Source organism: Homo sapiens, chromosome 11 (assembly GCF_000001405.40).
Source record: "Homo sapiens chromosome 11, GRCh38.p14 Primary Assembly".
In the NCBI taxonomy this organism is placed as follows: domain Eukaryota; kingdom Metazoa; phylum Chordata; class Mammalia; order Primates; family Hominidae; genus Homo; species Homo sapiens.
Genome location: NC_000011.10, coordinates 63,749,916 through 63,770,805, shown reverse-complemented (window position 1 = coordinate 63,770,805; position 20,890 = coordinate 63,749,916). Strand labels below are relative to the sequence as shown.

Here is a 20,890-nt window from a genome sequence, read left to right as displayed (position 1 = left end):
GGAGGGCAGAGGTTGTTGAAGGTGGCTCCAGGTGGCTTTGATACCTTTCTTCTGGTAATAAAATTACCCTTTTTATACACACAGAGCACTGGCAGGACAGACACCAGAGTCTCACAGGGGCTGGCCCTCAGCATTGGTTCTCTGTGGAGTGAGCAACTAAACTAGAATAAAGCACAAGGGCCCTTGGCCCCAGAAGAACAGGCTTCTTTCATTTTAGGACATTAGGCTCTTTTAGCTTCTTTTCCTTTCTTTTCTTTCTTTCTTTTTCTTTTTTTTTTTTTTTTAAACCATACTACTTAGAAGTGCGTGAAGCCCAGGTCTCTGTCTCACTTTCCCTTTGTGTTCCCGGGCCTGGCACAGATGAGGGACATAATGAATTAAGGAATCTCCCATCTCAGGGCCTGCGTGGCACCCATCAGCATCAGGGCCTCTGACCCCAGTGGGTGAGAGGAAGTGCAACCCCCCCCCGCCCCCCTGAGCGCAGGGCCTGCCGCGAAGAGAGCAGAGCTGTGAAAGGAGACTCAGTTTACCCAAGGTGGAGTCTCAAGCACGTCAACATGGGGGCTGAGGAAGAGACGGGACATCTCCGCGGCGACAGAGCCCAGAGGCACTTAAGAAATCTTAGTTCTTGTCCCCTCCTCATAAGCACTTCGGGGACAGGTTTCCTGTGTTCCAAGTAATTTAATTCCCATGGCTCCCGAAAGGCTGGAGCGGTTTCCTTTTCAGAGGCTGTGGGTGCCTCTGAGAAGGAAAGTCACAGGCAGTATCGGTCTTGCCCATGTTTTTCAGTGCTGTGTGTCCAGCGTCTGAAAGCATGCGGGCACACAGTAGGTGGTGACAAGCGGACGAACTGCCATCGGCGACAGCTGGGTAACTCGCCAGTGCAGGGAACAAAACCCGCCTCCAGATAAGAAGACCCTGCAGGCCTCCCGCACCCTGTAATTTGGATCTCCAGGAATCGCCTTTGTTGTGGGCGCCCAACCTCAGGCAAAGCGAGCACCTGCTCCTCCCGCCGGTCCTCGCAGGAGGACCCCAGGCTGCTGCGCCCCGGCTGCCTCTCCGGGTCCCTGCGCTCCGCTTCTCCGGAGCTGGGGGACCGGGGGCGCCCCGGGACCCGCAGCCAGGGTCCGCCCAGCGCTTCCGAGCCGTGGTAACGCGCCTCCCCAGGTGCCCGACACCCCGCCCGGGGCCAGCATTTTTCGCTTCCTAGGGCCGGGCCGGGGGTCTGGGGCTGCGTCAAGGGCCTCGTCAGGCACCCCCAGGCCTGCGGGGGCAGGATCCTGAGTCACCGCCGCGCACGCCCTCTCCTCCCGGCTTCCATCCTGGGGCCACCTCCAGCCCGCAGGGTCGGGCCCCGGCGCAGCCGGCTCTCTGCGGGTCTGCTGTGCGCCCCTCTCCCCAGCCCGAGTCACTGCGGCCGCCGCCCCCACCCCTGGCTGGCTCGGGGGAGCCTCGCTTGTCCGCCCCTCCCATGAGAAGCCCGAGCTCTCAGCGCTCCCGGGCGGCTCCCGCGGGAGGGGGCGCGGCCGCCCCCACGGCTCCACCCTCTCGGCGGGGCCGCAGCCATCTGGGGCCCCTGCCAGTAGCGGCCGCTCCGGGGCCCGCACGGAGCTCGCGACCCGCTTGCGCGGCGGGAGGCAGCCCCGGGCAGGGACCCCGGCCTCCTCAGCGGGCGCTCCCGGCGCTGAGATGCCCCGAGGGGGCGGTGGCCGCGAGCCGAGCCCGGGTGGAAGCGCGTCGCAGCGGACGCGGGCGCCCCTCGCCACCTCAGTGACCCTTTGGGAGCCGGGACCGGAGCCCCGCAGGCGGCGGTGCGGGCCCGCGGGGGCGGCGAGGTCCGTGCCCCTAGCGTCCGGAGCGGGCGCAGGCTGCTGAGCCTCGGCTGGGCTCGTTGCCTCCCGCCTTTCCCCCCAGCCCCCCGCGAGCTGGCAGGAGGAAATAGCGCGCGGCCCCTTTAAATTTACCCAGGAGCCCTTAAAGGAGCCCCAGGGGCCCCAGACAGGAATCCCCACCCCGGTCCAGCCCGCGCCGCCGAGCGAGCAGCCTGCCGTCCGTGCGGCCGGCCGCCCCGTGCATGCGCCCCGCGCCCCGGGGCCCCGCGCAGCGAGCGCTCCGCGCGGGCTGCCGCCGGCCCCGCGGCCCCGCGCCCCGCCGCCCCGGGGCCCCGCTCCGCAGCGCAGCGCATGGAGCCCGGCGGGGACCACCGGAGCCGGAGCAGCGGCGGCAGGGGCGGCCCCGGGCCAGCAGTGGCCTCGGCACGGGGCCGACGGCTGCCGCCCGCCGGATCGAGCGGCAGCGCGGAGCCAGAGGAAGACGAAGGCGGTAAGAGCTGGGGCCGGCGGCCCGGGCGGGGGCCCCGGCGTGGGGGAAGGGAGGGCTGCGGCTCGGGGCCCCTCTCCGCCGCCGAACAAAGCGGGGGACGCGGGCAGGGCGGCCGGGGGCGCCACCTGGTGGGCGCGGAGCGCGGCTGCAGGGCTGGCGGGGGAGCCCCCCGCCCAGCTCCCGGGGTCGGCTCGCGGGGCTCGGGCGGCTCGCCTCCCCCTTAAAGGGCCCCGCTGCCGCCCGCAGCGCCCCGCCTTGGGGGCCAGGCCCGAGGGGCCCCACGGGGCAGGGCGCCACGGAGCGAGGCTGGACTTTGGCCCCCGCCCCTTTCTCTTTCAGACTCCCAGGTGGTCTCCCTAATCGGGCTTTCTCTCAAAAGTCCGCCCAGACCCTGGGTCCCCTTCGGGGGCTTTTCCCCAGCGGAGCTGAGCTCAGCTCCGAACTCTGCTGTTTTAAATCGGGCTGCTCCTCTCGTCTCGTGGCCTTGTGAGAGACATGCACCCTTTTTCTTTTCTCCCACATTCTCCCTAGGAAAGTGCATCGCTTGCGCCCCGGGGGCCCACACCATCTTTTCCCACCGCGGGCAGTTTTTAAAGCGATGGGTTCGCCCACAAAGGCAGGCACCCCTCCGGCCGGTGCATTCTCCCTTCCCTTCTTTTCAGAATTTTTTTTTGCCCTAATTTGTCAGCTCTAGCGGAACCAACCAGTCCTCCTCGTTCGCTCTCAAAGGAGACTGTTGACTCATTTCCCGGCTGCAGGGTCACGCCTTAAGACCCTTGAGGGTTTCCTCCAGGCCAGGGAGACTCTGCCCGAATCTCCAGGCTCCCCTCCCGGTCTCTCCCCTCCCAGAAACGCCCCATCCCCTTTTGTTTTTAAAGAACCTCGGCTCCTCCCCCTTTTTCGGCTCTTAAAGGGCCAATCCACCTTAGACTAGCCTGGATCCAGCGCTGGAAGGATGCTTAGAGACCAGCCAGCTAGCCAGTGTCGTTGCAGACAAAGAAGCTCAGGCCCAGAGTGCGGACATGACCTATCAAAGGTCACAGAGCAAGTTACCAGTGAAGCCAGGACTTGAACCCAGGCCTATGACTCCGAAGCCAGTGGATTCTATGGATCTACTTAAATAAAAACTAAAACAAAAAAACTTCCACAAGGGTGACAGGAGCCCTTTCTGATCCTGTCTTTTGTTTTCCCAACCCTGTGATTCTCCACTGGGAGAATGACCAGAACCTGCCTGTGTGCCCAGGAGACCATTTTTCTAAATCAAGAGGGGTGGGAACTGTAGGGAGGGTAGGGGACTGCTCTGGGTGGGTGTCTGGCACAGGGAACACCATTGGGTTAGTGGGGCCTCTCCAGTGCCCGCCCTTCTGACTGCTGGGCAGTGGCCGGCTCCCTGCCAGAGCAGCAAATAAAGCCCCAGAAAGACTTAATGGGCTTCAGTGGATGGTGGCCACTCCCTGCCGCAGTGTCATTAGTTGTCACTCTGGTGGCCCTCCTGCCATCCCTTTACAGGGTCATTGGCTCCTCCAGAATCTGGAGAAGTTTCAGTCTCAGAAACTCCTTTCCCTGGAGATGTTGGCAGCTTTGTCTTGGGGATCCCTCCCATGTGGGGGCCTAGATTTGGGGAACTGACAATGCCTAGCCCATCCCCAAAATGGGAGTCTCAGGAAGCTATATTTGAAGCATTACTGGAAAAAGGGAGAAGACCTGTGGGTGGGGCCCTCCTGGCGGGGGCCCCAGGTGGGTGGGTCCCGTGTGCAGCCCTGGCTGTAGACAGATGCCCCCTTTGTTTGTCTGGCCCCACTGCCTGCTCTGCTCCAGCTGGAACCGCCCTGGCCTGCTGCTCTCCTGGCTTTCTCCCTACGGCTCTTGTCCAGAAAGGGCACCTTACAGAGCTGGTTGGCTCCTTGGCCCTCACCTTATTTTTTAAAAAGTCAGAGCTATTTCCACAGTGCCCTGCGTCCTTTTGTTCTTGATCTCCTCTTAAAGGGTCCTTGCCCTTTGTAAAGGGCTAATGTTTTGGCTCCCACTTCTACCATCCCTTTTATTGCTGTTGCCGTCCCTTTCCTGCCCCGGAACACCCCCTCCCCCAGCTCCCTTTCTCAGGGCTCACCATCAAAGCCCTCGCCTCTTTCCCTGGAAATCAGAGATTGAAAAACTGTCTCCCTTTCCCCTTCTTCAGGGCAAGATCTTCAGCTGGAAGGGGGTGCCTTGGGGTCCTGGGGGAGTGCCCCCCTGCCCTCCTCCAGGGCCAGGGGACCAGCATCTTCAGGCAGGAAATATTCAGACCACTGTGAGGCCCGGGCCTCGAGGCCTGGAAAGAGCCGCATCCCTGGCCGTGACCACCGGCGCTACTACCACGACCACTGGCGGCTGGAGTACCTGATGGACTTCAACCCTGCCCGGCACGGCATGGTGTGCATGGTGTGCGGCAGCTCCCTGGCCACCCTCAAGCTCAGCACCATCAAGCGCCACATCCGCCAAAAGCACCCCTACTCCTTGCATTGGAGTCCCCGGGAGAAGGAAGTCATCAGCAACAGCTGGGATGCACACCTGGGGCTGGGGGCCTGCGGAGAGGCCGAGGGCCTGGGGGTCCAGGGGGCTGAGGAGGAGGAGGAGGAGGAAGAAGAGGAGGAGGAGGAGGGGGCCGGTGTCCCAGCTTGCCCGCCCAAGGGCCCAGGTAATGCAAATGCAGATTCTGTACAGGCAGGGGCCTGGGTGGCCAGTGGGGCACAGTGGGCCAGCTGCTCTGCCAAGGAGCTGGTGTTCTTGAGCAAGGCACTGCTCCTCCTCTGGGTGGGGTCTGTTTATTGCCCTTATTATACAAAGGTGGGGGAAGGACAGTGGGGTGAGAGGGTCTCCGATGTCCATGACAGCTTGTACATTCTGTGGTTTTTGAAGTATCAAGGAGAGAAGTTGGGTGACAGGCAGTGGAAAGGCTTGGAGCAGGGAGGCCTGGCTGGGGTGGGTGAGGGAAGGGGAGGGTGCTGGAGAGGTGTGGCTGACGGTGAAGGCCAGGGACAGGGCTAGATTCCAGTCTGGGGGAGGTGTGGGTGGTGCTTGAAATGCTAGCAGAGGAGGGTTTAGGGAGTTAGGATTTCAGGAGAGAGGAAGAGAAGGGCAAAGGTTAGGCCTGGGGCCCAAGTGAGTGAGAGGCTTGTGGGAGACCTGGCTGTAGTGGGTATGCTCCCGTGGGGCCAGCGTCTCAGTTCCTTCCCTCCAACCCTTTCAGGCAAAGCCCCAGCTGGTGGGGGCTGCCGGCGCCAGCGGCGAGGGGGCCCAGTGGCACCCCGGGCTCGGCGTCTGCGCCTCTCAGCCTCCCGGAGGGCCGGGGGCAGCAGGGGGCTGGGGGCCCGGCGCCTGGAGAGGAGGCTGAAGGAGTCCCTGCAGAACTGGTTCCGGGCCGAGTGTCTCATGGACTATGACCCGCGGGGGAACCGGCTGGTGTGCATGGCCTGTGGCCGGGCACTGCCCAGCCTGCACCTGGACGACATCCGTGCCCACGTGCTGGAGGTGCACCCTGGCTCCCTGGGGCTCAGCGGCCCCCAGCGCAGTGCCCTGCTGCAGGCCTGGGGGGGCCAGCCCGAGGCGCTGTCTGAGCTCACCCAGTCCCCACCAGGTGCGAGGCCCATCCCAGGCTGAGACCCCCTCATACTGGGGCTCTGAAGTGGGGTCTGTGGCCAAAACTGGGAGGCAGGGACTTAGGGCTGAGGGCTGAAGGCCAGGAGCTGGTGCTCCACACACATACTTTCCCCCTGCCCCCAGACAGAGACAGACTGGGGCCTCTAGCTTGGGGCTGGGGTGAGGAGCCAGGATGGACCCCTCTGAGTGGGCAAGGGCAACCCAGCCAGCAGGCTGAGCCCCTCTCCCTCACCCCTTCCCCAACAGGCGATGACCTCGCCCCCCAGGACCTGACCGGAAAGAGCCGGGACTCGGCCTCCGCTGCTGGAGCCCCCTCCTCTCAGGATCTCAGCCCCCCAGACGTAAAGGAAGAGGCTGGCTGGGTCCCTGAGAGGCCCGGGCCCGCAGAGGAGGAGGAGGAGCTGGAGGAGGGCGAGGGCGAGAGGGCGGGGGTCCCGGGCCGGTCGCCGCGGGGCCGCGCCCACCGCCGCCACCCCCAGGAGCGCTGGCGGCTGGAGTACCTCATGGAGTTGGACGGCGGCCGGCGCGGCCTGGTGTGCGGGGTGTGCGGGGGCGCGCTGGCCTCGCTCAAGATGAGCACCATCGAGCGCCACATCCGCCGGCGCCACCCGGGCTCCACGCGCCTCGGCGGGCCTGTCCAGGCCCTCATCGCCCGGGAGTGGAGCGAGAAGGCCGCCCACCTGCTGGCCCTGGGGCCGCCCCGCCCCGAGTCCCCCCAGGGCCCCATCCCCCCCGGCACTGCCGCAGCCTCCGACGAGGGGGGAGGGGACGAGGAGGAGGAGCCAGAGGAGGAGGAGGAGGAGTGGGGTGAGCGGTGGGGCCAGAGCAGGCGGAGAGGGAGAGCCGGGCAGTTGCTGGGGCAGAAGGGACTGGAGGATGGGATAGAAGGGCAAAGATGGGGTGACTGGAGATGAGACGCGGGGCCCAGCCCGCTGCCCCCCGCCGTCGCCAATGCGGTCCTTTGTCCCTCCTTAGGCGACGTTCCGCTGTCCCCTGGAGCTCCCTTGGAGCGGCCCGCCGAAGAAGAGGAGGACGAAGAGGACGGCCAGGAGCCTGGGGGACTCGCCTTGCCGCCGCCGCCTCCTCCCCCGCCTCCGCCCCCGCCCCGCAGCCGGGAGCAGCGGCGGAACTACCAGCCGCGGTGGCGGGGCGAGTACCTGATGGACTACGACGGCAGCCGGCGCGGCCTGGTGTGTATGGTGTGCGGGGGCGCGCTGGCCACGCTCAAGGTGAGCACCATCAAGCGCCACATCCTGCAGGTGCACCCCTTCTCCATGGACTTCACGCCTGAGGAGCGCCAGACTATCCTGGAGGCCTACGAGGAGGCGGCGCTGCGCTGCTACGGCCACGAGGGCTTCGGGCCGCCCGCCCCGGCGCCGCGTGACGGCGGCGCGGACCTCAAGTCTGGCGCTGTGTGTCGGGCGTAGCGGCCTAGCGGGCCCCCGGGTCAGGTCGGGTCGGGTCGGATCGGCCCCGCCCCGCCCTGTGCTCGCCCGGCCCTTCGGCTGGGAGACCCTCGCGTCCGGTGTTAGCGCTTCCCGCGGCCGCGCCCCCCGCTGGCCGGGCCGGGCGGAGACGGGGGATCGGGTGGGGCCACCGGCGTCTGCGCGGTGCCACTTGGGTCCCTGAGCCAGTCGGTGCGCTGCGGGAAGCGCACTCTCCCATCGGCCCGGAGCCCTGCCCTCCCCGCGCAGGGCCCACGTTTTCCGAGAATCCTCAGTGGCCTCCACGTGTTAGCGCCGAGCGCTCCCGGCCGCACCCCGCGAGGGGGTTCTCCGCAGGCCGGGACTGGGGGCGCCGTCAGTCAGTATTAGGGCCGAAGGGGGGCCGTGCGGGCTCTGGCTCTGGCCCTGGCTGGGGGCCCAGTTCCCTGCAGCCTTGCACGCTGGCAGGCACGGCTCCCGGCTTGGGGGCTGCTGGCTGCCCTTCCCTAATTGGGATTCTCGGCCTCTCGGAGGCCCCGGCTGCGGACTGGGGCTTCCAGCGGGAGGCTGGGCCGCAGGGCTCGGGAGCCTTCCCGGGGTGGGAAGGCGCGTTGGACCGAGGGCGGGGCTACGCGCCCGGGGCCCGGGCTGGACCAGCTGCGCTTACCTCCCCGGCAGGCTCAGTGAGAACCGTGCGCCCGGCGGCCCCACTCTCCTCCCAGGCCGCTGCCACGCCCTCCAGGAAAGCTCTTGTAAAGGGATTAGCACTTTTTTCCTTTGCTCCTCTTGCCCCGAGGGTCTCTGCTTACCCCTAAACCAAGTCCGTGGGAGCCCGGGGCACAGGCGGTCCCGGCAGTCAGCCTTCGATTCCCGCCCCATCCCCATCCCCCTTTGTCCGCGGTGGATGCGGCGTCCGTTCTCAACCCGCAGGGCCTGGGGCCGGGCCTCGGCCTCTTTTCCCCGTGGCAGCCGCAGGCCCTGTGTGGCAGGGATGGGGCCCCGCGATCTCCCAGGCAGGTCCGAGAGGGATGTGTAGATTCATTCTCCTGTGGAGAACAGGTGGCCCCGAGATCAGGCCCTTTTTTGCTCTTTGTATTTTATTTTGAAACTGTATTTAATGCTTTTATATGAAAGGGGGAGGGGCGGGGACAGAGCTGACCCAGTCACCCTTATGTGCAAATGTCTTATTTATTATGCGTGTATCAGAGATAAGCTGTGAGGTGGTGGAGGGAGGACCTGAAGGAAGGAGGAGCGAGGGCAGAGGCGGGGACGGGAGGACCCCAACTAGCTGTGCTGATGTTAATCCCGCTGGGAGACTCCGGGCCCTACTGTCTGCTCTTCACAAAGCCAGGCTGCTGCAGGAACAGTTCCCGCGGTCCTAAAGCCGGGGCGGGGAGGCTAGTGGGTGGAACTTGAGGGTTGGGTCTGGAGGAAGAGATGCCTGGGCAGCGTGGTCCAGCCCCTGCCTCGGGGTGGAAAGGCAGAGAGCAAAGAGGAGGCCCCTCTTATTCCGGACCCCCAGGCCAGAGCCCAGGAGTGGGAAAGCAGAGGGCAAAGAGGAGGCCCCTCCTCTCATCCCTGACCCCCAGGCCAGAGCCTAAGGTTCAAGTGCCTCAGGCCCAGTCCCCTTGACGCTTCCTGTTTGGGAGTTGGATTTTATACCACGGATTTTATAGCATTTTTATATAATTGAGGATTGTCAGAATTGGAAAGGGCCCTGGAGATCACTAGTACTACCCTCCTCACCTTCACAGATAGGTAAATTGGAGCCCAGGAACCGAGATGATCACACAGCCAGGTAGGGACAGTACAAGAACTAGAATGAAAATCCTAGCTCCTGACTCAGTGTTCTTTGCACGATGCCACACTGCTTCCCAATTCGCTGGTCAGTTATTAAAATTTGTCAGGCCTGCCGAAGGATTGACATGCTGGGCAATGCAGGCCACCACGGTGGATCTGTGACTCCTGAAGGTGGCAAAGCCCTGCACACTGCCTTGGGATGAGCACACTGAGCTCTGCAGGGCCTCAGCTGGAAGGCGCCATCCAATCGTCCTTCCCCTCCCCAGCAGAACTCCAGAGGTGGGGCGGCTGCCGCAGGGCCCAAGGCTGCCTCGGCAGGGGGCTTTGTGCTTTTTGTTGTGGAGGCCACCAGGGATTCAGGAAGATCCTGAATGGGTTGTCAATTGACTGAAAAGTAAATTCCCAGTGAGTTTGAACCTCCACGGTTTTTGAGACAGTATTAAAAGCTTGAGAACGGAGATTATGGATGGCACCAGGCTGGGCACTGCCATTCTTTTACTTTCCTTCATGCATTTTTTCGGATCCAGAGTATTAACACCACTTTTTTTACTCTGCCCATTCAAAAACAGTAGGCAAATTGGGGGAACCAATTTATAATCACTCAAGCCCACTGCCAAAGTTCGGATAAGCCAGGGCAGAGGGGTTAGATTCCCCCCCCTCCGTAGGCAGAGAGAGGCCTCAGGAGAGTGGACATCTTTACTGAGACAGCCCCAAACACACCAGTGGCTCTCAAAGTGTGTCCCTGAGACCAGCAGCATCACCTTAGGAATCTGCTAGAAATAAAAATTCTTGGGCCATACCCCAGGGTTACTGAATCAGAAACTTGGTTGGGGCCTAGCAGTGTTTTCATGAGCCCTCCATTGATCTTGATGCAGCTGAAGTGCCGGGCACCAGTGAAAGGGAAGGGCTGCGGTAGTGATTCCATTGATTCCTGCTTTGATGGAAGTTATGGCCTCACAGGTTAGACGTTGCAAGTTGAGTTGGCCCTCTTGCCTAGGTGTGCCTCCTTGCCTTGGGATTCTGACATGAACAGGTGAAGTCTCTTCATGATTTTTTTTGTTGTTGTTGTTAATGGTATGCTTGCTATTATGGCCAATATGTAAATGTTACTCTGAATACATATTTATATACCATGTTACTTAGTGACATTATTCAAACATTTGTATGCGTATTTGTGAAATTGTTTGCATCAGTCATTTAAAAAATATTTCAGCCTAAGTTTTCTAAGAGGTATGTTGAATACATTTTTAAAAGCCAGCTTAAGGGTCACAGCAGCCTTAGTTTAGGAGAAGAGCTAATCACAGGTGACCACTCAAGTTCTTTCAATGAAGACCTGATGATGTATTTAGTTCCCATTTTCCACGGTGATTGACTCAATTTAAGTGTATTGTGGCTATATGTAATTTACAGGCTGCTTTGCGTTGCAGGTGGGAAAATCTCCCAGGCTGGTGTGAGGCTGAACTGGGGTAAAAGACCCCCTGACCCCTCCTCATTCTTCTAAGGTCACCACCTCTTAGAGGGTCTCTTATTTTCTTTCAGAGATCAAATGCACAGTTATGCTGTACAACTAAATTCTGCAGTCTTGGGAATCCTTACGAGTACCAACTATTAGTCACTTTTTAAAGTCCCCAAAGTGGAGTGAGGATAGGGGGAGTGGAAGCAGTGTTTGGTTCTTACTTTACCCAAACTGTGTATAAAGAATAAAGTTAGCAGAATGATGCCACAGTCATTGTTTGTGTTTTTTTTTTTTTTATTAATACCACATCAATTTGAAATTTTACAGGAACCAAGATTCAAGCTCCTTAGGTGCTACTGTATTTTTATGTTGCACGCACAGACACGTACACACAGTTTCATTAGTAATTTTTCATCTATAGGTTTTTCTTAAAAAAAAAAAAAAATCCTGTGTGGCACAAAGATCTCTTCAATTATCTAAACACAGCAGCAACAAAAGAAAAGAACTGGATGTGGCACTTCCACTGCAGAAGGTCCTTTGGAGGGGAAGCCCAAAAAGACAATCACTGACTTCCTGGGAGGGCAGAGGATGAGGATGGAGAATGCACTTCCTACTAGGACATGAAACCAGTTAAAACACTCAAAGGGGGCTAAGAAAATAAGATGGAGTAAGGCAAGGGTACCTTTTACCCATCCAAATTCCTAACTAATTTTTCCAAGACACGTAGACAATTTCCTTCCACTACTTTTTGCAGCTGCCGTACTTTGGGACCATCAAATATCATAGCCCTTACTTTAAACTCGCCAGTGCATATTCCCTCTGAAGGATCATGACTATGAGTGAGAACCTGAAGGAACTCACAGATGATTTTTCTTTCAAGTTCGCTGAATTCTCATATTGAAGGTGAAGAAAAAAACTTGCCCCCAAATGGGAATCGGAGATTTGAATCTCGGGAAAAGATCAAGAAAAAAAGGCTTTCTGTATTTCACCTCTTGAGAATGTTCCCCCCCAGACTGAGATAGGATCACAAAAACTCAATAACTGAGGAGCCCACATGCAGGTTATTTTTTTCTCTAACAAGTTTACAGCAGTGCACAGCAGTTACAGACATTTATTTTATAGTAAGAAAAGTACAACCTTATTTATTAAACTTGAGGTGGGCAGGGGAGAGGGAGGAAAGCACATTCGGGAACGAGTTCTCAAACTAATGCTCAGAACCGGTGTCCAGTGACGTAGAAACCACTTTCCCAAATGGCGGAGCCTTTCCTTCCCTGGGGATAGTGGCAGAGGGAGTGACCGCCACCGCAGCATGCCTGCTGACTCCCTCTCAGTCCCACTTTCCATTTCTATTCTTTTTTATCAGATGGCATTCTTGGAATCAGGAATTATCACTATCACCTATAAGTTATTTATCAAGTTGATAGTTAAATCATTAAAGAAAAGGAGTATCAGGGGTAGCTGCTCACATTGTGGGGCAGGAAGATAGGATTTGAGGGCTGCAAAAAAAAACCAAGGAAGGTATCACACTCCTGTCCCCAAATAATTTTTTCATAAGTTAATCATGACTTCTTAAGGGCAAAACTATAATGGATAGCTGAGTAAGACTAGTGCTGAAAACTGGACAGAAGGACCCAGAGGTGTTCTTTCATTTTCTCTCTTACCTCCAATCTTTCCCCTTTCAAGCTACAGGTAAAGGCTCTACCACCATTAAGGTATTGACTTATCCTATGAATTTGATTCTTTCTTCTTCTGAGTTCTAAGATAGTTCTTTTATCAGTCCATCAATTTTTGTGCTTGATACTGAGGGTTAAAGGGAAAGGATGGGAGAAAACACCAAATTAAAAAAAAAGCTTGGAATGCAGGCTCAAGCTGACACTGAGTATTTTCCTTCATAGTACAAGTAACGACGTTATAACTATTAAATGGTGTTTTAGTAACTGTTGCATTTCTGGTTTCCATGTACTTATTCTGCCTTTTTTTTGGCGATTCCAGGGAGTTTTGCTTGGATCCTATTGAGAAAAGGAGGGGAAAAAGAAAGAAAGTGAAAACATTAGCATTTGCTCTAGGTTTTTATTTTAACTGTGATGCTAGAGGACAGTCCTGGACTTGCATAAGCAATGTGAAATGCATTCTCCCGGCTGGGTATGGTGGCTCACGCGTGTAATCCCAGCACTTTGGGAGTCCGAGGCAGGCAGATCATGAGGTCAGGAGTTGAAGACCAGCCTGGCCAATGTGGTGAAACCCTGTCTCTACTAAAAAATGCAAAAATTAGCCAGGCGTGTTGGTGTGCACCTGTAATCCCAGCTACTCAGGAGGCTGAGGCAGGTGAATGAAGGATAATCGCTTGAACCCGGGAGGTGGAGGCTGCAGTGAGCAGACATCGCACCACTGCACTCCAGCCTGGGTGACAGCGAGACTCCATCTCAAAAAAAAAAAAAAAAAGAAAAAAAGAAAAATGTTAACAAATTCAAAGCGTTAGGTTCACAGTATTTGCTATGAATAATTCAAAATAAAAGCAGGGCTCATGCCTGTAATCTCAGCACTTTGTGAGGCCAAGGTGGGAGGATCACTTGAAGCCAGAAGTTAAAGCCTGGCCTGGGCAACATAGTGAGACCCCCATCTCTATAAAAAATAAAAAATTTGCCAGGGCATGGCACATGCCTGTAGTGTCAGCTACTCAGGAGGCTGGGGTGGGAGGATCACTTGGAGCAAGGGAGGTCAGAGGTCAAGGCTGCAGTGAGCTTTCAGCTTGTGCCACTGCACTTCAACCTGGGTGACAGAGTGAGACCCTGTCTCTAGAAAGCAAAACAAAAAAGAAAGAAAAAAGAAAAAAGAAAAAAAATACTGTCCTCTAGGTATGGGGAAAAAAAGTAAAAAGAAGAAAACAACTCTTTGATATAGGGAGTCATAAAGATGTTTGTCAATATTTTATTTCCTGATTTATTAATTGGTTTAAAAAAATGGGAACAGAGATTTGGCAATCTTAGAAAAGACAACTTTGATCCTTAAGTTACTTATTTACTAGAACTTTTGTTTCTGAGAGGGATACGTTTGGCTTAAATGAATACATGTGAAAATAAATGAAGGTGGGGAAGCAACCAATAACTTTTTGGTTTTTTTTTGAGACGGAGTCTCACTGTCACCCAGGCTGGAGTGCAATGGCATGGTCTCTGCTCACTGCAACCTCGCCTCCCAGGTTCAAGCAATTCTCCCTCCTCAGCCTCCTGAGTAGCTGGGACTAAAGTTGCATGCCACCACACCTGGCTAATTTTTGTATTTTTAGTAGAGATGGGGTTTCACTATGTTGGCCAGGCTGGTCTCGAACTCCTGACCTCGTGATCCACCGGCCTTGGCCTCCCAAAGTGTTGGGATTACAGGTGTGAGCCACCGTGCCCAGCCTGTAATGAAGAACATTTAAAAGCCAGTTCAAAAAGGCAGAGTAGCCTATGGTCCTTGCTACTGGAGAAGCTGAGGTGGGAGGATCACCTGAGCCCAGGAGGTCGAGACTGCACTTCAGCCTGGGTGACAAAGCAAGACCCTGTCTCCAAAAAATTCCACTGATCTTTTTTTTCCCATTGATCCTCTTGTCTCAGCCTCTCCAGTAGCTGGGACTAAAGGCACGTGTTACCATGCACAGCTAATTTTTTATTCTTAGTAGAGACAAGGCCTAGCTATGTTGCCCAGGCTGGTCTTGAACTCCTGGGATCAAGCAATCCTCCTGTCTCGGCCTCCCAAAGCACTGGCATTACAGATGTGAGTCAAAATGCCTGGCCTACAAAGGTCCAGAAGGCAGGGCCAGAAAAAGATATAAAGGATTTTTTTTCCTTTTTATAGAAGCAGCTATAATAATTTTTAGTAAAATGAAACTATTAACTAAGGTTTTTATCAAAATGAAAATTACTTTCCTTGGCATCTGCATTTTGTACAAGGGACTAAAGATAATTGGGGGGAAGGAAGCATACCTCATGATGATGTGGTCTCTAAATGTACTTACTTTTCAACAATTGACTTGGTCTGATCTCGGGCGATGCCAACATAGTGATCAATCTGGGTCTTTAAGGAAGGAAAATAAATTCAGTTGTGGTAACATACAGATCACCAATTTTCCTGAAGGCACGGCTCTTTTGTCTAGTTTAACCATTTTTTAAACACGACTGACCAGTGTAGAAAATGAAAACACCCAGTTTTTAAAAGTTTTTTTTTTTTTTGAGACGGAGCCTCGCTCTCGCCCAGGGTGGAGTGCAGTGGCGCTATCTTGGCTCACTGCAAGCTCCACCTCCCGGGTTCACGCCATTCTCCTGCCTCAGCCTCCCGAGTAGCTGGGACTACGGGCGCCCGCCACCACGCCTGGCTAATTTTTTATATTTTTAGTAGAGACGGGGTTTCACCGTGTTAGCCAGGATGGTCTCGACCTCCTGACCTCGTGATCCACCCACCTCGGCCTCCCAAAGTGCTGGGATTACAGGCATGAGCCACTGTGCCCAGCCTTTTTTTTTTTTTTTTTTTTTTTTTTGAGATGGAATTTTGTTCTTGTTGTCCAGGCTGGAGTGCAATGGTGTGATCTCGGCTCACCGAAACCTCCACCTCCCGGGTTTAAGCAATTCTCCTGCCTCAGCCTCCTAAGTAGCTGGGATTACAGGCATGCGCCACCATGCCTGGCTAATTTTGTATTTTTAATAGAGACAGAGACAGGGTTTCTTCATGTTGGTCAGGCTGGTCTTGAACTCCCATCCTCAGGCAATCCACCTGCCTCCGCCTCCCAAAGTGCTGGGATTACAGACATGAGCCACCACACCTAGCCTTAAAAGTATTTTTAAAACCTCTGGTTTTAGAATCCAAATTACACCATAAACACCCCACACTTTGTTAAAGTGAAAAAATCACTCATCTTTTGCAGAGGTTAAGTCTTACTTGGTAAGTATTTTCTTTAGAGACACTGGAGTATATAACAGTTTCCAATGACTAGAAACTGTGTGTCTAATCTATTTTCTGTCATCATAAATATGTTATGGCTCTTGTGTAACACTAATTCACTTAATACCAAAAAGCCAAAAAGTCTCTTGATGGATGACTTAATCCATAAAGAATAATCTCATGGCATCTAGTATACTTGGTACACATCATCCAACAATGCAAACACCTCATCACACTGATGGATTACCTGAATAACCTAGAGTTTAAAGTTTCCTTTTAGACACCCGGCTTTTATTCATCTAAGCATTTTTTTTTTTTTTTTTTTGAGACAGAGTCTCCCTGTCGCCCAGGCTGGAATGCAGTGGCGCGATCTCGGCTCACTGCAAGCTCCACCTCCCAGGTTCATGCCATTCTCCTGCCTCAGCCTCTCTGAGTAGCTGGGACTACAGGCGCCCGCCACCATGCCTGGCTAATTTTTTGTATTTTTAGTAGAGACGGGGTTTCACCGTGGTCTCAATCTCCCATCTAAGCGTTTTTTTTTTTTTTTTTTTGAGATGGAGTCTTGCTCTGTCATCCAGGTTGGAGTGCAGTGGTGCAATCTCGGCTCACTGCAACCTCCACCTCCCAGGTTCAAGCAATTCTCCTGCCTCAGCCTCCTGAGCAACTGGGACCACAGGCGCCTGCCACCACACCCGACTAATTTTTTGTATTTTTAGTAGAGATGGGGTTTCACCGTGTTAGCCAGGATGGTCTCGATCTCCTGACCTCGTGATCTGCCCGCCTCGGCCTCCCAAAGTGCTGGGATTACAGGCGTGAGCCACCGTGCCTGGCCCCACACTGGGCTAATTTTTATATTTTTAGTAGAGATGAAGTTTTACCATGTTGGCCAGGCTGGTCTCGAACTCCTGACCTCAAGTGATCTGCCTGCCTCGGCCCCCCAAAGTGTTAGGATTATAGGCATGAGCCACTGCTCCTGGCCTTTTTGAGAGAGGGTTTCACTCCCATCACCCAGGCTGGAGTGCAATGACATGATCTCGGCTCACTGCAACCTCTGTCTCCCAGGCTCAAGTAGATTCTCCTATCTTAGACTACAGGTGCAGGCCACTGCATCCGGCTATTTTTTTTTAGAGACAAGGTTTTGCCAGGTTGCCCAGGCTGGTCTTGAGCTCCTGGGCTCAAGGGATTCTCCCGCTTCAGCATCCCAAAGTGCTGGGATTACAGGCACAAGCCACCACCCCTGGCCTAAGCATTTTTTCAACTTATTACTTTTGCATAGAAAATACATCTACATGATTAAAAACTCGAAAGGCACACAAGTATAAAAAGGAAGTTTCTCTTTCCTAGTCATCTCTCTCCTAAATATCCAGTTTCTCTCCTTGGAGGAAACTACTGCCACCAGTTTCTTATAGGCACTTGACTCACAAAATTAGATTGTAGAAATAGTTATAAAAAGACTGCTCTGAACATTCAATGTCTCAGAAATGAACTACAACTAGTCATACATCAACTGGCACATTTGATTTGGAACAGATAAATGCTTACCTTGTACTTCTCATAGACAATCGGGACACTGAAAATGAGCAGTTCAGCTGTAAGACAGAATCATGGGACATGGCAAGTGTATATGAGAGACAGTCACATCTTAAGACTCAGAGTAACATATACATTTTTCCTCAAAAAATACAGGAAAACACAGGCATTCCTCAAAATGAGAAATCCTGGTTAGCACTCCCAATTAAGACAGCTAATTTAAGGTAGTGTTAAAACAAAACAAAAAAAACCTCTTCAGGTATACAGGCTACCTTCTTTGTACCACAAATAACAATTTCCAAATTACCAAAATGGTTTCTGTAAATAAGATCCCCATACGTAAACCAAATCTAGACAACTGTCCTTTACTTCCAGCTGTTTTGATATTTCTTAATTTATAACTGAGACCATTTCATAAACCTGTGACCACAAACTCCGGTTCCTCCAGTGCCTCTACTCCCAGGTCTCTATGGGTCAAGACTGGGCAATGAAGAATGAGTAGAGCCATGCTGGGCTTTCTCTTCACTCTTATTCTTACAAACTACTTCAAAGAGCATGGGCACATTCTCCTTGCCACCTTACCAAGAATTAGAAGGGTGATTCCGTTAAAAACAGCACCAACATAGGTCATCAGCCACATGAAGACAGCCAGCTGTGAAGGCCATATCAAAAGTTAAGCAGGAATAACCGTAAGGCAAAATTCACATTAACTGATGTCATTCTCCTCCAGCTAATTAAGTCTGCATAAATTTAGTGATGTGTGACATGGACAATTTCCAAATGAAGGTTCCCTACTTGTGTTATACATTTGAAGGTATGTGAGTGAAGTCTGTAGTTTTCTGAGGTCCAAAGACTGAAACTGCACTGCTTCCAATTATATCACCTCTCTTCTGATATTTGTTCCCCAGCAGAAGGCTATACCTTTCTCTAGTGACACCTATCCCATTATAGAATGACTGAGCTAAGCATACGTTCATTTTTGTCTGATAAAATCCTATGTACTGTTTTTCCTCCAAATTATAACCCAGTCCCTGCTTTTTCTGTTTTACCACCAAGAGCTGCAGAAACAACTAACCTTCAAGGAGTCAACCAGATCTTCTACCAGAAAGAGACGAATAATGAGTTTCAGGGCCCTGTTGATGTGCACCATGGCAGCATTCATGTAATTATGGAAAGCTTCTGAGGACAGAGTAATGTCTACGTCCAGGTAGGCTCTTCCAGAAGAAGAAATAACAGTCATACATTTGACATGGAAGAAGATTTTGTTAGCACAGTAGTTACTGAGAATGTAAAATTGGTTCCCAGGGTGCATGTTAGAACCTGTAGGAGCATTTTTTTGTTGTCATCAGGTGGGGTGGAGACACACTGTCATTTAGTGGGCAGAGGCAAATATGCCAGATGTCTGCAAAGCATGGGACAGTCAAGCACAGTAAAGAACTGACCTATGTTCTGTGTCACTTTTACTACCTCATTGGATATTCATGAAGGTAAATCCATTTATAAATAAGAGCCCAGAACACATAAAAACAAGGTACTTTTTTTTTTTTTTTTAGCAGTTTTAACATTAACATATCCTGGAGTTTCTAAAACTATATTTTGTTTATGCTAAAATTTTGCTGTTTTTGTTTTTTAAAAAAAACATTTTGGAAAACCACATTTGTATTTGTAATTAACAGCCCAGAACACATAAAAACAGGGTACTGGGGGTTTTTTTTAGCAGTTTTTTTATGAGATGGTGTTTTGCTCAGTTGCCCAGGTTGGAGTGCAATGGCACAATCTCAGCTCACTGCAAACTCCACCTCCTGGGTTCAAGATATTCTCCTGCCTCAGCCTCCTGAATAGCTGGGATTACAGGCACCTGCCACCTTGCCCGGCTAATTTTCATATTTTTAGTAAAGACGAGGTTTCACCATGTTGGCCAGGCTAGTCTTGAACTCCTGACCTCAAGCGATCTGCCTGCCTCAGCTTCCCAAAGTGCTGAGACTACATGCGTAAGTCACCGCACCTGAACTGCAATAAAATTTTTAATGCCACATAAAGTTGTAAGTTATTCCTTCTATTTCCACCAAGAGAAAATACAAGGAGCACAGGTGTGGCCAGAAACCTATTCTGTTGTAGTCCTGAGAGGTCACAGCAGGGTCTCCTTCTCTATGAAAAAAGAGCCTTCAAAAAACTGTCATTTGCTCACGTTAAAGTCAACATTGTTTATGGGGTAAGATTTTCAAGAGGAAAGTGTGAAGAAAACATTAGTTAAAGTTACAGCACAATCAAAAAAGCTAGAAATTGTATACTAGAAATGTAGTCAGAAGATTACTGACTTCATTAAGACCTCCAGCGTTAAGAAAACTAGTAAGAGATACGGAGGAAATCAGTAATAAACCAAGAATGAAAACACTGAGTTCTGGTATTACCAAAGCACAGACACAACAAGGTTTGAAAGTCATGTCAAGTCTTACCTATGTGGGGGATTAAACATGCACTTGGAACCCCATCTAACCGAGCGCTGCTCTAGGTGCTCTGCTTTCCCTGCCCTGCTCAAGAATTTAGAGTTGCCGGGCACGGTGGCTCATGCATAGTAATCCCATGCATGATTTGGGAGGCCGAGGCGGGTGGATCACGAGGTCAGGAGTTCAAGACCAGCCTGACCAATATGGTAAAACCCTGTCTCTACTAAAAATACAAACATTATGGTCGGGAGCGGTGGCTCACGCCTGTAATCCCAGCACTTTGGGAGGCAGAGGCGGGTGGATCACAAGGTCAGGAGTTCGAGACCATCCTGCCGAACATGGTGAAACCTTGTCTCTACTAAAAATACAAAAAAATTAGCCGGGCGTGATGGTGGGTGCCTGTAGTCCCAGCTACTCGGGAGGCTGAGGCAGGAGAATGGCATGAACCCAGGAGGAGGAGCTTGCAGTGAGCCGAGATTGCACCGCTGCACTCCAGCCTGGGCGACAGAGTGAGACTCTGTCTCAAAAACACACAAACAAAAAACAAAAAAAACAGCACTTTGGGAGGCTGAGGCGGGCGGATCACCCAAGGTCAGAAGTTTGAGACCAGCCTGACCAACATAGAGAAACCCCGTATCTAGTAAAAATACAAAATTAGCTGGGCATAGTGGCGCATGCCTGTAATCCCAGCTACTCAGGAGGCTGAGGCAGGAGAATCGCTTTCACCTGGGAGGCAGAGGTTGCGATAAGCTGAGATCGCGCCACTGTACTCCAGCCTGGGCAACAAGAGCAATATCCGTCTCAAAAAAAAAAAAAAAGAATTTAGAGTCTTCTTTGAAGGACTCCCTCTTTGAACTTCAAGTATGAGCCTCTAATTTGTCAAAAAGTTCTTGGCTTCTAACTTGGCCACTTCTTAAGGTGATTTCAAGGTCTCTAGGGGATGCTTCATGCCACCAATCAGCTGCATTAGGCCCCATAATTCTTGATTTTTAGTCAGGTCTGAGTTTTAGACCTATCAGCTTCAGTGAACCCTTCCACTAAAATGTAGAATGTTGCTTTTAAGACTTCAACTCACTTGAATGGATGGCCTTCTTCTGACTTCTGTACAGCTTGGATGACGGACTTGTAGATCCTGAAGCTGATGGTGACAGAGAGAAGAGCCAGGATGAGGTAAGAAACCACACTGATGACACTGAAAGCTGCCAGGGAAAGCAGCATGATCAGCGTGGTGCCAAAGACAAACCCAGTCTTCTTCACATCTCTCCAGAAAATCAGATCGTGCACTGACAAAAGAAAAGGGAATATAAGTTATAAGAAACATCCACAGCTACTATGTCTTGCATACCTGTGGAGCCTCA

General features: G+C 53.0%; 2 protein-coding genes across 15 annotated transcripts in view, besides 5 other annotated features; one reads left to right on the top strand and one right to left on the bottom strand.

Moving 5' to 3' along the window:
* Positions 1,215-1,684: a silencer, noted in NCBI's record as "silent region_3445". NCBI's record gives its function as "represses an Ori minimal core promoter by ATAC-STARR-seq in GM12878 lymphoblastoid cells {active_cell/tissue: GM12878}" and the evidence as "EXISTENCE:reporter gene assay evidence [ECO:0000049][PMID:35858748]".
* Positions 1,705-1,914: a silencer, noted in NCBI's record as "silent region_3444". NCBI's record gives its function as "represses an Ori minimal core promoter by ATAC-STARR-seq in GM12878 lymphoblastoid cells {active_cell/tissue: GM12878}" and the evidence as "EXISTENCE:reporter gene assay evidence [ECO:0000049][PMID:35858748]".
* ZFTA (zinc finger translocation associated) lies at positions 2,031-10,914 on the top strand. 4 transcript variants are annotated; one of them, NM_001144936.2, is made up of 5 exons: positions 2,031-2,322; positions 4,502-4,999; positions 5,552-5,938; positions 6,208-6,768; positions 6,937-10,914. In NM_001144936.2, the coding sequence occupies exons 1-5, from the start codon at positions 2,184-2,186 to the stop codon at positions 7,386-7,388; spliced, it is 2,037 nt and encodes a 678-aa protein (NP_001138408.1). In that variant the 5' UTR covers positions 2,031-2,183; the 3' UTR covers positions 7,389-10,914. The 4 variants fall into 4 exon arrangements, with proteins under 4 accessions (NP_001138408.1, XP_047283433.1, XP_047283434.1 ...); XM_047427477.1 differs by lacking the exon at positions 5,552-5,938; XM_047427478.1 differs by lacking the exon at positions 6,208-6,768.
* Positions 2,045-2,094: a silencer, noted in NCBI's record as "silent region_3443". NCBI's record gives its function as "represses an Ori minimal core promoter by ATAC-STARR-seq in GM12878 lymphoblastoid cells {active_cell/tissue: GM12878}" and the evidence as "EXISTENCE:reporter gene assay evidence [ECO:0000049][PMID:35858748]".
* Positions 2,315-2,614: a silencer, noted in NCBI's record as "silent region_3442". NCBI's record gives its function as "represses an Ori minimal core promoter by ATAC-STARR-seq in GM12878 lymphoblastoid cells {active_cell/tissue: GM12878}" and the evidence as "EXISTENCE:reporter gene assay evidence [ECO:0000049][PMID:35858748]".
* Positions 8,432-9,191: an enhancer, noted in NCBI's record as "NANOG-H3K4me1 hESC enhancer chr11:63529087-63529846 (GRCh37/hg19 assembly coordinates)". NCBI's record gives its function as "activates a minimal SCP1, AML or CMV promoter by ChIP-STARR-seq in naive and primed H9 embryonic stem cells {active_cell/tissue: H9 hESC(naive and primed)}" and the evidence as "EXISTENCE:reporter gene assay evidence [ECO:0000049][PMID:30033119]".
* Positions 10,915-20,890, bottom strand: part of RTN3 (reticulon 3) — a 78,442-nt gene continuing 68,466 nt past the window's right edge. For 4 of the 11 annotated variants that reach the window (NM_001265589.2, NM_201428.3, NM_001265590.2 and 1 more), the window contains 6 exons: positions 20,608-20,815; positions 18,161-18,299; positions 17,668-17,737; positions 17,098-17,144; positions 14,636-14,694; positions 10,924-12,650 (listed from right to left, as the gene is read on the bottom strand). In NM_001265589.2, coding sequence (NP_001252518.1) covers positions 12,605-12,650; positions 14,636-14,694; positions 17,098-17,144; positions 17,668-17,737; positions 18,161-18,299; positions 20,608-20,815 — 569 coding nt within the window. In that variant the 3' untranslated portion in view covers positions 10,924-12,604. Of the gene's footprint in view, positions 12,651-14,635; positions 14,695-17,097; positions 17,145-17,667; positions 17,738-18,160; positions 18,300-20,607; positions 20,816-20,890 lie in introns of all 11 variants that reach the window. The other 7 variants (XM_011544730.3, XM_011544731.3, NM_201429.2 and 4 more) reach the window with 6 other exon arrangements.

Bases quoted from the DNA above. Each gene is read 5' to 3' on its own strand.
- ZFTA (NM_001144936.2), top strand. From the start codon at position 2,184: ATGGAGCCCGGCGGGGACCACCGGAGCCGGAGCAGCGGCGGCAGGGGC. The intron at 2,323-4,501 runs GTAAGAGCTGGG...CCCCTTCTTCAG, and splicing joins GCCAGAGGAAGACGAAGGCG to GGCAAGATCTTCAGCTGGAA. The intron at 5,000-5,551 runs GTAATGCAAATG...CAACCCTTTCAG, and splicing joins TTGCCCGCCCAAGGGCCCAG to GCAAAGCCCCAGCTGGTGGG.